Source organism: Homo sapiens, chromosome 8 (assembly GCF_000001405.40).
Source record: "Homo sapiens chromosome 8, GRCh38.p14 Primary Assembly".
NCBI classification, from domain to species: Eukaryota; Metazoa; Chordata; class Mammalia; order Primates; family Hominidae; genus Homo; species Homo sapiens.
The window spans coordinates 138,265,851-138,283,620 of record NC_000008.11 but is presented as its reverse complement, the minus strand read 5'-3'; the positions used below and the strand labels follow the sequence as shown (position 1 = coordinate 138,283,620).

At 42.5% G+C, this 17,770-nt stretch overlaps 1 protein-coding gene across 14 annotated transcripts in view; it reads left to right on the top strand.

The window, feature by feature from the left end:
* Positions 1-17,770, top strand: part of FAM135B (family with sequence similarity 135 member B) — a 367,708-nt gene that overhangs the window by 214,110 nt on the left and 135,828 nt on the right. The window lies entirely within an intron of this gene.

Below are 17,770 nucleotides of genomic sequence, written 5' to 3'. Positions count from 1 at the left end.
TATCACCCAAAGTCCCAAGTTTATATTAGGGTTCATTCTTGGTGTTGTACATTCTGTGGGTTTGCACAAATATGTAATGACACATATCCACCATTAGAGGATCATGCAGAATAGTTTCACTGCCCTAAAAATCCTCTGAGCTTTGCCTATTAATCCCTCCACCTCCCTTAACCCTGAAAAACCACTATTTTTTTTTTTTACTGTATCCATAGTTTTGTCTTTTTCAGAATGTCATATAGTTAGAATCATGAGTACTTAGCCCTTTAGATTGACTTATTTCAATTAGTAATAAGTATTTACATTTTTTCCATCTTTTTATGGCCCAACGGCTCATTTCGTTTTGGTTCTGAATAATATTCCATTGTATGGACGTACCACAGTTTATTTATCCAGTCACCTCCTGAAGGACGTCTTGGTTGCTTCCAGGTTTTGGCAATTATGAATAAAACTGCTATGAACTTTGGGAGGCTGAGGTGGGCGGGTCACGAGGTCAAGAGAGTGAGACCATCCTGGCCAATGTGGTGAAACCCCGTCTCTACTAAAAATACAAAAATTAGCTGGGCATGGTGGCACGTGCCTGTAATCCCAGCTACTCAGGAGACTGAGGCGGGAAAATCACTTGAACCCAGGAGGCGGAGGTTGCAGTAAGCCGAGATCACACCACTGCACTGTAGCCTGGTGACAGAGTGAGACTCTGTCTCAAAAACAAACAAACAAAAAACAAACTGCTATGAACTTTTATGTGTGGGTTTCTACATAGACTTGTGTCTTCATCTCCTTTGGGTAAATGCCAAGGAGTGCAACTGCTGGATCACATGGTAAGATGTTGCATAGTTTTGTAAGAAACCACCAAACGATCTCCCAAAGTGTCTGTGCCCTTTTCCGTTCCCACATGTCGTGAATGAGAGTTATTGTTGTTACCCCACACCTTTGCTAGCATTTGGTATTATCAGAGTTTCGAATTTTAGCCACTCTAATAGGTGTGTAACAGTATCTCGCTGTTTTAAGTTTGCATTTCCCTGATGACATATGATGTGGAATAACCTTTCATATGCTTATTTGCCATTCCTGTATCTTCTTGGCGAGGTGTCTGTTAAGATATTTGGCTCATTTTTTAATTGGGTTGTTTGTTTTCTCATTGTTAAGTTTTAAGATCTTTAAAATATACTGTAGATAACATTCCATTATCAAATATGCCTTTTGTAAACATTTTCTTCTAGCCTGTGGCTTGTCTTTCCATGTTCTTGGCAATGATTTTTTTCTGAGCAGAAAATTTTAATTTTAATGAAATCTAGCTTATCAGTTCTTCTCTTTTTCAGGAACTGTGCCTTAGGTGTCATAACTAAAAACTCATTACCAGACCCAAGGAAATCTAAATATTTCTCTGTATTATCTTCTGGGATGGTAGATTACTTTTGAACATGTTAAATGTATGGTATCTTTGAAAATCTAAGCATAAAATTTGAAGTAGCCAATTTAACTTATAGATCTTGAGCTTAGAGGAAAAATCTGTTTTAGAGACATAATTTTCATTAAGCGGCTATGTCCTAGATGTCATTTTATGTGTAGGACTTGGAAAATGCACAAAATAGGCAGATTTTCTGCTCTCATGTTGCTTACATTACGGTTGGAAAAGAAGATAATCAGCTGGGCACAATGGTGCATGCCTGTAGTTCCAGCTACTCAGGAGGCTGAGGCAGGAGGATCCTTTGAGCCCAGGAGGTTGAGCCTGCAGTGAGCCATTAATGTGCCACTGCACTCCAGCCTGAGCAACAGAGTGAGACCCTGTCTCTAAAATAATTTAAAAATTTTTTAAAAAGGAAGATAATCAGTATAACACAAACAGTAATATGTGCCATGAGATAAAATAAACCACCCTAATGGGGATAGAAAGTGACATTGGAGTGGGGAAAGGCATGCCAATTTACAGGGAGGTGACCCTTATAAGGAGAGAGAGAAAAGCTATCAGAGGGTCAAGAGGAAAAATAGTGAAGCTTCATTTCACGGCGGCCAAGGGAGGGTATTTCAAGGGGGAGGAGTGGAACAACATTGGAGAATACTGCAAAGAATCCAAGTATAATGTGGACTAAAAATTTCCTCGAGCTTTTAGAAACATGTAGGACACTATTTACCTCAATAGGATTTTTTTTTTTTAAACTGATGCTAAGGGGACGGAAATCAGATCTGGGATAATGAAGAGTGAGTAGAGCAATGGAGAAATGAAAACAGCCAGTAGAGACATCCTTTAGGTAAGTTGGTTGCCACCCAACCAAGGTATCTAGGAAGAGCTGCGAGATTTGACTTCTGTGTATATTTTATTTCTAATGAGAGAATGGTGAATATATTTCAACATTATTGGGACGAATCTGGTTTAGGAGGAAATGTTGGATATGTAAAATAAAATAGGAAAAATAGTTGAAACACTCTAGTTGCAAGCAGACATGGAGGATCTCCAGGGACTATAGTAGTTTAATCAACTTGAGCAATCTGCCTATTTTACAGCCTTCAGCCTGTTTTTTTTCCACCTAAAATCCTGTGTGGAATGTAATCACCTAATTGGGTGGAAGCAGCTCCCGACAGCCCTGGCAACTTGTAGATGAACTTGAGTGAACTTTCTTGGTTACCATGCTAAAGCCTCCACCCCCGGAGGAGCTGTAGCCTCATTATCATAACATGCAACCTCTGTGCTTCTGTGCTGGCATGATGACTCACTGTGTCTGCACCTCTGAGCCCCCTCCTCTGCATGCGATGATGCACCCTCTCCCCTTTCCACCACCCCAAAAAACCCTCCTGTCACTTTCCCTTGGGGAGACACTGCTTGGAAAATACTCCTAGTGCTCTCCTCCCTTGTGACAAGTGATGTAACTCCTATCGATCCAAACCTGTGCTCTTGTGGAGATTTGTCTGTTACTTGCCAGGCAAATGAACCCCATTCTTTTTTGGGTAACACAGTCATTAAAAAGTTTGCTTTTTCCAAGCACTGTGCCAAGTTCTGTGGCTGCTGGGATGAACCACAGCACTACTGAACTCTAAGGAACTCATACAGACATGCAAATAAACAGCCGCATAATAGCAAGAGATGATGAGGAAGGTGGAGGAATGAATGCTTGGTCACGGGGATAAGTGCTCCTTGTGCTCAGCCCCCAGCAGCATATAAAGGGCCAGCCGATTGTGGCCCTGGAGCCTAAACAGCAAACTTGGTGGTTGCCTCTGCACCATAATGTTGACTGGAAGGTAAATGAGCCCAGGAGAACAGGCCATCTGGTAGTTGAATCTAAAGCTGCAAAAAGTGCTTCTGAGGATGCAGGCCTAGGTGTTCACTGATACTAGAGCCAACGGGCTAAGCCTTGGCTGACACTCAATCAGGTGACACTACAACTTTCAGATAGTGGATGTAGAATTTTCTCAGACACAAGGAGTCAAGAGAGCCCCTTGGAAATAGTTTTTTGGTACCCTAGTAAGCATCAGGGCAGTTGGGGGTAGCAGAGAGGGCCGTGGGTGCAGCGGGTAGATTCGGGATTCCACTGCTGGTCCTTGGTTGGATTCTCCATCTCTCTGAGGCCCCAGTTCCTATTTGTGAAATGCGTTTATAAAACTACATGACTTTCTTTTAGCTCCCAGTCCCCATATTGGTTGCATGAGTTTTCAGATATAGGAGTGAGTACTCAGCCTTCTTTTGGGGATAAGCAAGTTCCCCAGACTAACACTCAAGTGCTCATTTGGCAACTTTTTGAGCATCTATTTTATTTAAAGTACTGATCTAGGTCACAGGGAAGAGACTCAAGTGATTGCTTAATGTCTATGCCCTTAAGTAGCTTACAGAACAATAGAGGGTGAGAGGGAGTAGGTGGGTGGCAATAAGGTGACTCTAAGATGGGTAAAATAGGAGGTGGACTCTGTGAGACACAGGAAAGGTGTAAAGCTAGATGAATAAACAGGCGGAAGATATGTGTTTTTAATAATAACGATGGGCATCTTTGTCTTATCTAATCTTTCATGATTACTTTATATGTGAAGATAATTATTCTCAGAAAGGATAAATGATTTGCAAGTGCATGGAAAGCCTGAACTTAAATAAAGATCAGTCTGAGTCAGAGCCTGTGCAGCTTATAAGTGCTAAATTCTGCCTTCCAGTTGGGAAGATCTTCATAGAAGAGGTAGCATTTAAGAGGTCACTGAGAAACAGGCAGACTTTTGAGGTGAGGATGATGCTATCAATTCAATAAAAAAGACTAATTATGTGCCTCTTATGTCAAGCACCTTACTAGAATCCTAGAGCTCACTGGTGAGTTGTGTACTTTTCCGTCTTGGAGAAGCCCACAGTCTGGTTACAGAAAGACACACAGAACTGCTGCTCGGAGGAACAAGTATTCTACAAGAGCTGGTGCAAAATGCTGTGGAAACAGACGAGGGAGCAATTACTCTGCCTGTGGCACTGAGGGAAGAACTTCTGAGGAAAGGAAAAATACACAGTCTTTATGGATGAGAAGAAGAAAGTGGAAAAAAGAATGTCAGAGGAACAGAACATTCAAAAAAGATTTACGGATTGGTCATTTGGGCAAGCAGTGTGATAGGACTTCTGAGAATTATCAATAATTAACCAGGTCTAATCAGCAAGAAGCTTAGATTTGGCATGGTGGAAATCACTATGAGCCAGGACCAACCCTCCTTCTCCCCAAAAGTCAAGGAAGTAATTAAAACACTGAACAATATTGCTCGTGTATAGTGAGTCACAGGCATTGATTTGTATCATCTCATTTGATACTCACAACAACCCTGTGATTAGATATTATAGCTCCATTTTACAGAAAATGAAGTTTTTTAAGAAAAAATCATGTTCTCCAGACTGGCCAACGTGGCGAAACCCCCTCTCTACTAAAAATACAAAAATTTAGCTGGGTGTGGTGGTGGGCACCTATAGTCCCAGCTACTTGGGAGGCTGAGGTAGGAAAATCGCTTGAACTGGGAGGTGGAAGTTGCAGTGAGCCAAGATGGTGCCACTGCACTCCAGCCTGGGCGACAGAGCAAGACTCTGCCTCAAAAAAAAAAAAAAAAAAAAAAAAAAAATCATGTTCTTATAATAGGAAAAATTATGAACCTTTCAGTTCTCCCCCAGTACCACAGTGGTCTAAAGCAGCACTGTCACATCCCTCAAGTCATCCTGCCCCATCTGTTTAATTGAGCAAACACATATTGCTTTTGAGGATGTAGGCATAGGTGTTCATTGACACGAGAGCTAACTGGCTAAGCCTTGGCTGACACCCATGCAGATGACACTGTGACTTTCAGGTAGTGGATGTAGAATTTTCTCAGACACAAGGGGTCAAAAGAGCCTTCTGAAAGTTGCAGTATCACCTGGCTGGGTGTCAGGCCAAGGCTTAGCCAGTTAGCTCTCGTGTCAATGAACACCTAGATCTACATCCTCGGCAGCAATTTTTGCAGCTTAGATTCAACTACCAGATGACCTGTTCTCCTATGCTCATTTATTGTCACATCAACGTCTTGGTGCAGAGGCAAGCATGAAAGTTTGTTTAGGCACCAGGGGCACCATCAGCCAGCCCTCTATACGTTGCTGGGGGCTGAGCACAAGGGGCATATACCTGCTGTGGGGTCAAAGGGCAAGATTCAACAGGTGACACTAATGAGGAAATCATAACATTTATTCAAGAGAGGAGAATAATATTGGGGATTCTTCAAAAGCAAGGAGCATCTTGTGTCTACTTATCCTGCAAGGTCCCTGGAATTCTCAGTATTTCTGATGAATGGAGTGTGTGTATTGGAGGGATGCATGGAAGAGATGGACAGCATCTTCTGCCTGCCGAGTGTTGTTGAGCAGTAAATGCATATGATCCAGAGGTGAGAATATTCACACTACTCTGGGACAGGCAGAGAAAGCTTGCTGAAAGCGTGACAGTTTGAAATGTGTGGGATCTTGCATCATTTCTCAAGGCCCTACTCCCTGAAGTGTCAGCACCAATAAGTGTGTGGTTACCATACACTGGCTATGCCTGAGACTGGTCCAATTGTTGACTCGAGCTAAGGGGCTTACATGCAGAAGTTCAGATAAAGAAACATTCCAGAACTTGGTTGAAATGTGCGGTTAAAACCCTTCTGTTCTGCATTTGCTGTGTAGAGTTGAAAGTTAATTACTTGACCCAGCCAGGGCCAAGTCTGAGTCAAGGTGACCCATCAGAAACCAGGTCACCCATTGGCCTGGGACTCTGAGGTATGCAGGCAACTGGAAGAGTGCATGGGTATCAAGGACTAAGGAGGTTTGAGCTGGAGAGAGGGAACCTCTCCCTGAAGGAATTCCCGTGTCCATGCACAGACAGACTGTGTATCTGCAGTATTTGGCACAATGTATTAGCAGCAGAGAGAGGAGCTGAATAAGGGAAGGAAAAATGTCAGCTGCAAGAGCCTCTGCTGTCCTGGAGGACAGGAGCTCAGGTCACTCTGAGCTGCCACTGGAGTCTAGAAGGAGAATAAATGAGGTGAAAAGCTGTGAAGCTAAGAAGACAAAACTCGAGCTGCAGACACAGGTCTTGGCAGGACTGACCTGTGCATGGCATGGGGATACCTTGCTCATTTTAACCAGGGGCAATATTCAGCCAGTGCATCTGATAGGAGCAGTTGTTATAACAAGCACTGCTCTGAGCTTTCCAAGTCCTCCCTCCCAGACTACAGTGGCCAGTTACCTTGGCCCCCATTCCAGACCCTCACCTTCTCTATCATTCATAGCTAGAGGATTTACACCAGGGCAGCCGGTGACCTGCAGGCCCTGCTCACCGCCCTGCCTGGCAGGCATTCGGACTAGGTACTCTCTGTGCTCCCCAATTTTGAATATCCTGCCCTGCTCCAGACTGCAAGTGCAACCCTGGTGTGTGGGTGTGTGCCCTAATGGACAGAAGGGAGGGGACCAAGAGAGGAAAGGGGAGACAGTACAGATGAGAATGTGCTGTGGTGGAGACAGCTCATTCAGCGCTTGGGTTGGAGGGTGCCTCAGAACTTGGAGGGAGTTGGAGGGACTGAGGCTATGATCTGTTTCTGGACTGGCTGGGCTTATCTTAGCCTCTGGAGTGGGCAGGCCCTGCTGGAGGGATCTGCCATCTCTGTGGAAAACAAAGGCAGAGCAACCACCTGTTCTCCCCTAATCAGCAGTGACTCTGGGGCTCCCTGCTATTTTTTGTAGTCGCAACTCCGCCCTATATTCTGTGACCTCCAACTAAGGCCAAGGCCACGGTGGACTAGCAAACAGCTCTGTGCTCCTTGGCACATCCTGGAGACCGTGACTGGGTGGGGACACTGCAGCTCTGACAAATATTTGATTAGCTGCAATTGCGACTATACTTAGTTCTCCTAGGGAAGCATATGGGGAGGCAGATGGTTCAGGAAAGCCTGAATCACATCAACAAGGCTCTTTGCCTCCAATTTGCTGAGTCTCCTGATGACTTATTAGCAGGACGGGTTTCAGGATTTGAAGGTGGGGCCTTGGCTGTACCCTTCTCAGAAAGCCCCATGTTGTGCATTCTGGGCATCCTTTGTGCTGGCCTTTTGCAAGGGAACCTGGATCGATGTGGACTCTGGGTCATCATGAGGACATAGCGGGAAATAGAGACAGCCTCAGTGAGCTAACTGCTCTGTCCAAGATTCAGCTCACCTCCACAAATGTTACTACACCCACTGCCAAGTTCTCTGTGATCAGGCCACTTGGAGCTTTGGTCAGTCATGCATTCTATAAATATTTGCCGGGCCGGGATACAGCACAAAGCGTCAGCTCTGTGTTCAGTCCTCACTATGGCTGCAGCTCCCACACTCATCATTTAGGGCCAATTAACCATAGTAAAGACTTTAGATTTCATTCTAAGCGCCAGGAGGGGATAATGGCGTCTGGTTTATATTTATTCATTTTATTTACTTTTTTTTTTAGAGACAAACTCTCGTTCTGTCACCTAGGCCAGAGTGTGGTGGCAAGATCATGGCTCACTGCAGCCTCGAATTCCTGGGCTCAAGAGATCTTCCAACCTCAGCTTTCTGAGTAGTTAGGATTATAGGCACACACCACGGTGCCCAGCTAATTTTATATATTCACAAAAAAAATTATAGCGATAGGGTCTCACTGTGTTACCCAGGCTGGTCTTGAACTCCTGGCCTCAAGTGATCCTCCCACCTTGGCCTCCTGAAGTTCTGGGATTGTAAGAATGAGTCATCGTGCCTGGCCAACATCTAGTTTATATTTTATATTAGTAGACAAATAGGTGGTAAGAGCAGAAGCAAAAAGTAAGGTTTTCAGTATGCAATATTGAGAGAACATTTTTTGAAAGAGATAGGAAGGATTCGATTTGTCAGAACCATGTTTTGGGTGTGAATCCACAGGATGTGCTGTTGCGGGAAGTCAGGGACCCCAAACAGAGGGACCGGCTGAAGCCATGGCAGAAGAATGTGGATTGTGTAGATTTCATGGACATTTATTAGTTCTCCAAATTAATACTTTTATAATTTCTTATGCCTGTCTTTACTGCATTCTCTAAACACAAATTGTAAAGATTTCATGGACACTTATCACTTCCCCAATCAATACCCTTGTGATTTCCTATGCCTGTCTTTACTTTAATCTCTCAATCCTGTCAGCTGAGGAGGATGTATATCGCCTCAGGACCCTGTAATAATTGCATTAACTGCACAAATTGTACATCGTGTGTTTGAGCAATATGAAATGTGGGCACCTTAAAAAAAAAAAGAACAGGATAATAGCAATTGTTCAGGGAATAAGAGAGATAACCTTAAACTCTGACCGCCGGTGAGCCGGGTGGAACAGATCCACATTTCTCTTCTTTCAAAAGCAAATGGGAGAAATATTGCTGAATTCTTTTTCTCAGCATGGAACATCCCTGAGAAAGAGAATGTGCAGCTGGGGGTAGGTCTCTGAACTGGCTCCCCTGGGCGTGGTCGTCTCTTATGGTTGAGACTGCAGAGGTGAAATAGACTCCAGTCTCCCATAGCGCTCCCAGGCTTATTAGGAAGAGGAAATTCCCGCCTAATAAATTTTGGTGAGACCGGTTGGTCTCAAAACCCTGTCTCCTGATAAGATGTCATCAATGACAATGGTGCCTGAAACTTCATTAGCAATTTTAATTTTGCCTCCGTCCTGTGGTCCTGTGATCTCGCCCTGCCTCCACTTGCCTTGTGATATTCTATTACCTTGTAAAGTACTTGATGTCTGTGACCCACACCTATTCACACATTCCCTCCCCTTTTGAAACTCCCTAATAAAAACTTGCTGGTTTTTGCCACTTGTGGGGCATCACGGAACCTACTGACATGTGATGTCTCCCCCAGATGCCCAGCTTTAAAATTTCTCTCTTTTGTACTCTGTCCCTTTATTTCTCAAGCTGGCCGATGCTTAAGGAAAATAGAAAAGAACCTACGTGAATATCGGGGCAGGTTCCCCGATAATGTGCCGATGATTGGATAGAGGAAGTGAGTGGAAAAGAGGAATTTAATGACAAGGAAGTATTTCACTAGTATGGGTAAGACAGGAGGAGGAACATATTTGGGAAATATAATCAAAGGTTCTGTACTGGAAACAGAGGGTTCTGATCTTTATTTGACATCAAAGAAATCACATCAAGCGGTGAAGGATCAGGCCCACTCAGGAGAGAGATAGGGCTGGCATTATACATTTGAGAGTGCTCAGCTTGTAGGTGGCGTAGAGAGCCTTGAAAGCCTTGGAAATGATGCTAGGGAAGGAGCACAGCTAGTAACGGAGAAAATAATTGGGACCATGACCTAGGGTTCTACAACACAGAGAGGTGGGAAGTGCAGGAGGAGCCTAGGAATCCAGAAGGGGCAGGAGTGAGTGAGAGAGAAACTGAAGAGCTGCAAGAGCTGGAAGAACAGGCGAGGTGGGCATGAGGCATCATCTGGCTCCCCAGTGTAGTCGGATTGTTGTTGTCATTTTTGCCTGTAAAAGAACTAAGGCCAGTGGAGTTGAAATCTCACCCAGCATCTCCCAGCTAGTAAGCAGGGAGATGCTCCATGCTCCATTCAGGCAGTGCCCACTGCCCTGGGCCAAGCCTGCTTTCTTCATAGTGTCAAAGGGTAATTAAAGATTCCCTTTGGCTGGAGGCGGTGGCTCACACCTGTAATCCCAACACTCTGGGAAGCCAAGGTGGGCGGATCACGAGGTCAGGAGTCTGAGATCAGCCTGACTAACATGGTGAAACACCGTCTCTACTAAAAATACAAAAATTAGCCGGGCATGGTGGCATGCACCTGTAATCCCAGCTACTCAGGAGGCTGAGGCAGGAGAATCACTTGAACCCTGGAGGTGGAGGTTGCAGTGAGCCAAGATCACGCCACTGCACTCCAGCCTGGGCTACAGAGTGAGACTCCATCTCAAAAACAAAACAAAACAAAAAAAGATTATTTTCCACTCCTCACTTCCACTGAGACTTCTACTAATATCTGGTAAAATTCTATGCTGGATAATTTGTAATAGCCATGTCAGCTCCACACTCCTATTAATCCAGCAGCATGTTTATTCACTCCATTTGTCTGAGCCCCTATTATATGTTACATCTTGTACCAGGTACTTTCATAGGTCATCTCGTAAAACCCTCAAAACCCTGAAACAGTATTGCTCTTCCATCCCCAGTTCACAGATGAGGAAACTGAGGCTTACACTGGGTAAGTTCTTTGTTCACAGGTATACAGTGTATAAATGGCAGAGCTGAGAGTAAACCCATGTCTTTTAACTCAAATCTATGTGCCTACACAAGCATGAGGTACAACGCCATACACTGGACTCTGTTATTGAAATCCAAACTGAAATACCTGAGACCACTCAGCAGTTATGACCAATCGAAGGAAATCCAGTGGGTTTCTGTGTTGAGCAACTAAAGTGTACTAGAGGCAACACACTGGCCTTTTACTTTTGAGATTATAGAGCAATACATGTTATTAGATAATAAAGTGTTATCAAGTGCTGGCCTTACTGGGCTTATTCTAATAGTAGGTCACAATGGTTTATAATTAAGTAATTAAGCCCACTCAGTGTTGATGAGAGAATGCTTCCTGTTAAATAGCAGCAACAGCCTTTCTCATTTTCAGTAGGTTAAATGGTGCTTTTTAGTGGGCTCTTTAGTTTAGTTGCCCTCTTACAAATAGGACTTTCTGCCAGAGCATGGTATCTGCTTTGTAAGTTGAGTTTTCTTGTAGAGTAGGCTAGGAGTCAGAAATTCTGGATATTAGAACTATCACAAACTAGAACTATAACAAACATTGGGTAACTTCCAAAAGTCATATCCCTCCATTTTTGTATTTATTAATAAATTGATTGGTGGATTGATTCGCTAAATATTTGAGTGTTACTGATATGCAAAGCCTTTTGTTCTGTCATTCTCAGATTTTTTTTATTAAACAGAAATTGATGGATAGTGCATTTGAAGTGAGGAGAGAAAAAGTTGGGAAATACTGTACTAAATGTTGAATAAGATTCCTCATCATTGTTTTATCTTTACCAGTGACAGAATTATGTCTAACATATTGCCTGTGTGGTTGTTGAGTTAAATAATGAATGAATGAATAAACAAATTAAGGAGTAAAATTAAAAAAAAAAAACATTTGGAGTCATCATTGTACCATCAACTATATTTGACATTGAGGATGTAACAATTTCTATGATCATTAGTTTCCTCATGAATAAAATGAAAACTCATATACCCAAGACCATACTCAACGATGTAAGGAACATAAAGTATCTAGAATTTAGACCAGTAAATCTCAGGCTAGCTTTAATTGAGCAATTTGCAATTAACAAAACCATTTTGTATGTATTATATATTATAGAAAAGTGACTTTTCCAATCATATAATTAATAAATAACATCTATGATCAAACTCAGTTTGTTTTACATAATTTGCCGCCTCAATCAGAATTTTAAATTAGCCTATATAAGGCATTCTGACTAATGCAACGTGTGTGGAAAGATGAAACATTCATTTACACAAGGAGATGTCTGTGGAGTCGGACAATGATGGGAATATTCATTCGCTATTCCACAGACACAGGTGTAAAACATAGATGTCCCAAAAGGAACCCTGTGAGTGTTCAATGCTGAATCCCAATGTTTTGCCCAAGACCTAGTGCATAGCAGGTGATTAGTAAATATTCAATGAATGAATAAACACATTTTATAGCAAAAACATACAAACATAATAATCTAAAATTATAGGTGAGGCATAAACTTATGTCCATGTGCATGAAAACAAAATATCCAATACTCCATGTGCAGCAGGGTACTTTAAGTAGAAAACAAGAAAAATGTTTTATATTCTTTGAGATAGAAATAAAAATGACAACCAAAATACAACTCTTTATTGATGTGTCACCAATTTGATATGCTTCAAAAATTGAAGGTACAAGCAGAATTGCATCTCTTCAGATATTTCAAGTAAGTGCTTGTAGATCTCAATGCCCTGTTAGCAGAAATGCCACTTACTTTTCCCATGTCACATCATCCAAGAAGCCCTGGGCTGACACAATGAAGTGTGGTCATTTTCTGAATGCTAGTTTAGGATAGAAATGAATCTCATCAGTCCCTTGCTGCTGGGGCATCTCATTGGCACACAGGGTCTCTATTGAAGCATAGGTCTTTAGAATTTAGAGGAAGCTTGAGGGTGTTCAAAAGTGAACCCTTTGCTGCTCCAGTTATCTGCACAGGCCACTAGGGCCTCCACCCTGAGCTCCCAGGTTATAACTCATTAGAAACTGCTATGATTTAAACGTTTGTCCCCTCCAAAATGTGTGTGGAAGCTTTAATTGCCATTGTAACAGTTTTGAGGTGAGAACTGTAAGAGGTGTTTGGGCCATGAGGGCTTTACCCTACTGGGTGTGATTCCTGCCTTTGTAAAAGGGCAAGTTCAGCTCACTTTTGTCTCTTGGCCTTTCTGCCTTTTGCAATGGGATGATGCAGAAATAAGGCCTTTGCCAGATGCAAGCACCCTGATATTGGACTTCCCAGCCTCCAGAACTGTGAGCCAATCAAATTTTGTGCATTATGAATTACTTAGTCTGTGCTATTGTGTTATTGCAGCACACAGTGAACCAAGATATTGCTCTTGACAGCACAATCTTTGTTTCAGGTTAGGTGGGTCCTCATCTTTCCAGCTCACAATGTAGCCAAACCAACCTTCTACCCATGAAGCCCTGAGCATTTCTGAACATCCAGAGTTGTCATTCTGGGCCCCAGCTTTTCTCAAGATAGCTTCATTTCTGGGAACAGGTTGTGCTGTGTGATTGACACTAGTATCACCTTGGTTGGGAAGGGTCTGTCCCAGTCCAACAGTATCCCTGATTTTCAACCTTAAGAAAAGTCATCAAGACCATGGTTGCCTATCTCCCAGGAGTTCCTGGTTTCTTATCCATATTTTTCCACTTGCCCTCCAGTGATGGGCTCTCCAGGAAAGTAGCAACCTTGGGGGAGTCTCAAGAAGTCATGTATTGGACCTCCCTACCCTGGCATTGAAGGCTCGATGACCCTGTGAGCTAGGCAGCACATGCTCAACTACAGGAAATTATTCTGGTCCTTCTCTGGAAAAACAATGAATACCTTTTTCAAAGTGGCTTTCTCTTCTGCCTATTGCTTACAATCTTTGGAAAAAAAATAAAGTTTGGCTTCAGGGTGACTTTCTGTCCTTCCCGTTCCTAGAAAGGGTCCGAAAATTCACCCTACCTGAAGAGTCTTAATCGTTGTCATCTTCAATCTATGAAGAAATCTGTTTGGATTTTGATAATTTTTCAGTAAAAAACATACTTCTTCACTCACCATTTTGCCTAAGCCTCACATTCATTATGGAAATTAAGTAAGGCATGATTCTTGTCTCATTGGAGCTCGGATTCTGTAGTCCTGCCTAAGGCCACACAGCTGGAAAGTGGGGACAAGTCTAGAACTTATATTTCCCTTACTACAGGAGCATTTTCTAAACCATATGAAAACCAACATTGTGACTTTGAGGAACCCATAGTCTAATGGGGCTTTTCCACTTCTGTTGGCTCTAATATGTTGGAAGATTCTCTGAGTATATCCTGAGTTTAAAGGAATTCACACAGTCCAGACCTCAGCCAGCTGGCTTCAGGCCTGGGGAATTGAAAGGGTTGTCTTCTGGTGTTTGGGCACAGAACTGATTCTTTGGGAATCTCCTACATGCAGGCAGAGCCATGGCTATGTTCTTGGAATGAGATTGAGGTTTAGTCCACAAGTAGATGGTCCCTAAGGGTGCTGTTGGTTTGAGCATTGGGCATAGAGTCCCTGTCAGAAGAATAATACCTGTATTTTGTATTCCACACTCACAGATCCCTCTGGGGCTGCTGGGAACTCCAGCTGAGGGAATGTCATCATTTAAGGTTTAAACATTTAAAGGTGCATAGATCTATAAAGTATCAATATCATTCATTTTGTGGGGGGAGAAGAAGAAACTACAGCACCTAAAAGTCTTTTTTTCTCTTGCCATCTGGCCTGAAATTCTGTGTTAAGTTGTTTGGAACGTATTCTTTGTGCAGCTGAAACCTGAAGAGTTCCTCTTACCTCCTCTGCTGTATTCTCTTTTCTCTGCTCCCCTCCTCTTTTTCTTTCACATTCCCTTTCCTTCTTCCACCCATTTTCTTTTCATCTCTTTTTTCCCCTTAAAGTTTCAACTCTTGTTATGCGTGGTACCAAGGCTGACACCCACAAAAGAAGAAGACAGATATGTAGGAAGACTCTAGTCTACACCTTCTCATTGGACCCCTTGAGTAGAAATCTTGTTGCCTAAAAATACATAAAAATACTCTAAAATGAAAAGTGGCTATTTACCACATAGCTAGGAAAGACTGCCATCCCAAAGTATGAGTTAGTCTTTAAGGGCAGAGAGAGTATGTACTTTTGCTGTCTCTGGGTGCTGATTTCACCAGCAAGGAGGAGTGAGGATAGTGGGTCGGGTATCCAGATGTGGATTGTTGTTGAAGAAGGGAAAATCCCAATGGGAATGAAGCAGGGAGTGTTGTCCCAGTGATCTCCACAATCCCAGGGAAGTGTCTTGCGATTGGTGAGCCTTCCCTTGTAAAAAAAGACACCTGTTCTATGCGATGCCCTATTTAACAGTGGTGAGGAGTTGACCCAGAAAGCCTCCTAAGGTATGAAAAATGCCTTATCCCAGGCTTAATGGGTCACCTCGGGATTTGGTGACTTTCAGTAAATACCCATTAAGCCCTGTGGTCTGTTTGCCAATCTGCTCAAATTCAGAGGCGCTTAATCTCCCATAAAAATGTGGCCAATGATAATATATTCAACAGAAAGTACTCAGAAGTTTCTCTGCAAACACAATTAAAAAATCATCATACTGTATATTGTATGCCCAGAGCGTGCCTGGTCTTAGGAGCTTGATCTATTTTATCCTCTTTGTGTCCACAGTGATCCCACAAGGTCAGTGTGGCTGTGTCCATTTCTCACATGGAAAGCTGCTGTTACAAGAGGTGATGTCACTTGCCCAAGACAGCAAGTGATTGAACTGTTTTGCTGGCTGACCCTCCTGGTGGCAGACGGCTCAGGGCTGCTCTGACCTTCAGGGTATTCACCCCATCCACCCGCTGCCACATTGTCATTCTGGCTTATAGATCAGTGGGGCCTAGACAGTGATAGAGAAAGAGCTAGTGTAGCAAGTAAAAACAGAGAGGCATCTGCACACATGAATCATTTTTATTTAATAGCCGCATCAATTTGAATACAGCAGGTCTAAATAGAACTGCATTAGGCCAGTAATTTTATTGCCTTCATGACAAAGTGCAAATTAGAGCAGGCACATCTGAGTAGCCTTGGAAACAACCTGGCATTTTACATATTTTGTATTCCTTGCTCAGAAGCTACAAGGTAGGTGTTTGTTTAGATGTGACTGCATTGGGAGGTGACTGTGATCCTGTGTCCCTGTTTCAAAGAACTCTTTGACTCATCCAGAGACAGTGTACAAGGTACTTAGGATTTTTCTTTGCTAGTTGGGCTGTTTTTTTTTTTTTTTTCTTGGCTCCCATTTCAGTCAAACTAATTCTTTCAGTACTGTTTTATAGAGTCCCCACCCTTTGCTAGGAAATAGATGCATTTTATTCTTTCACTGGAGACTTCATTTTCTCTCTTACTAAAGAGGTAGATGTGAGGATGAATCTACACAATGCTTCATTATATAGCAATGCTCCATCTCAGTCTGCTAACAAAATGCCATAAACTGGGTGCCTTATTGACCACAGAAATGTATTTTTCACAGTTCTAGAGATTGGAAGTTTGAGATCAGGATGCCAGCATGGTCAGGTTCTGGTGAGGGTCCTTTTCCAGGTTTGCAGAGTGATGACTTCTCTCATTGTATCCTTGCATGGTGGGAAAGGTGAGGGGAACAGACCTCTGGCCTCTTTTTATAAGGGCATTAATCCCATATATGAGAACTCTACCCTTAGGATGTAATTACCTCCTGAAGGCTCCTCCTCCAAATATAATCACATTGGTGAAAGATATGCATCTTGGGGAGACATAAACATTCATAACAAGTGCATATTTAGGCACCTGCCTCTGCTTTGAGCCTTTGTCTCTTCATCTGGTGTAAAATTTACCTTATGGGTTTGTTATGATAATTAAGGAAAGTAACCACAATTGAAAAGCACTTTAGAACTTGTAAAATGCCATATAGTTGTTCCCTATTATAAATAGGTAATCAATAGGTAATCATTGCCTTATACAAATATTAGTATTATTTACTTTAGTATGTATATATACGCATATGTATGTGCGTGTGTGTATGTGTGTGTATGTGTGTGTGTGTGTATATATATGTATTTACATGTATATCCAACTGTATAGTTCATGTGTGAAGTAATTTGGAGGAGTTCGTCCATTTGTTCCCCCACAATAACCCTGGGCAGTGCTATTTATTTTAGAATAATATATATATATGTATATATACGTATATATATACACATATATACATATATATACATATACATATATATACACACACATATATTTTTTACACGTATCTCCAACTGTATAGTTTATGTGTTAAGTAATTTGGAGGAGTTCACCCATTTGTTCCCCCAAATAACCCTGGACAGTGGAAGCATTGCATAGATTTGTCTTGTTGAAATATAACTTAACTTTGAAGTACCGTTTAGGGATATAGTATATCTAGAATGCACTGGAGGATACAGAGCTAAACCAATTCCTTTAAAACTTGATATACAGCATAATAGGATTAGCACATTTTCCTAAAACGCAAGACAGAGTGTTCTCATGACATGCATGATGTGCAAGCAGCACCTTTGAGAAGGGAGAGACTCTATGGGCACTAGGAAGTCCTTGTAGAAGGAAGGGTGTTTTCTGTCTTTTACTCCCCGTTCTTCTCCTCATTGTTTCTGGGAGAGGAGGTTTATGGAATGCTTCACAGAGAAGGGGACAGGTGAACAGGTGAGAAGTTGAGCAGGCACTGCATAGCAGCCCAGGAGCATTGCCCACGGCATGAGTGACTTAGCCAAGATTTTATCGCTTGTAAGGGATGGAACAAGGTTTTTCTGAGATACCAGCCTGACTCAATAAACAGAAACATTCATATGGTGAGGTCTCATTTACTGTGATTTTAAGCTTTGGAAATTGGAAGGCAGCTTGGGGCCATTAGCCTACTTGAGCAGGAAAGACACCTGACAGGGCTGCAGGTACAGGACAGTATTGGAGTTCATGGGTTCCTACTGATTCTTG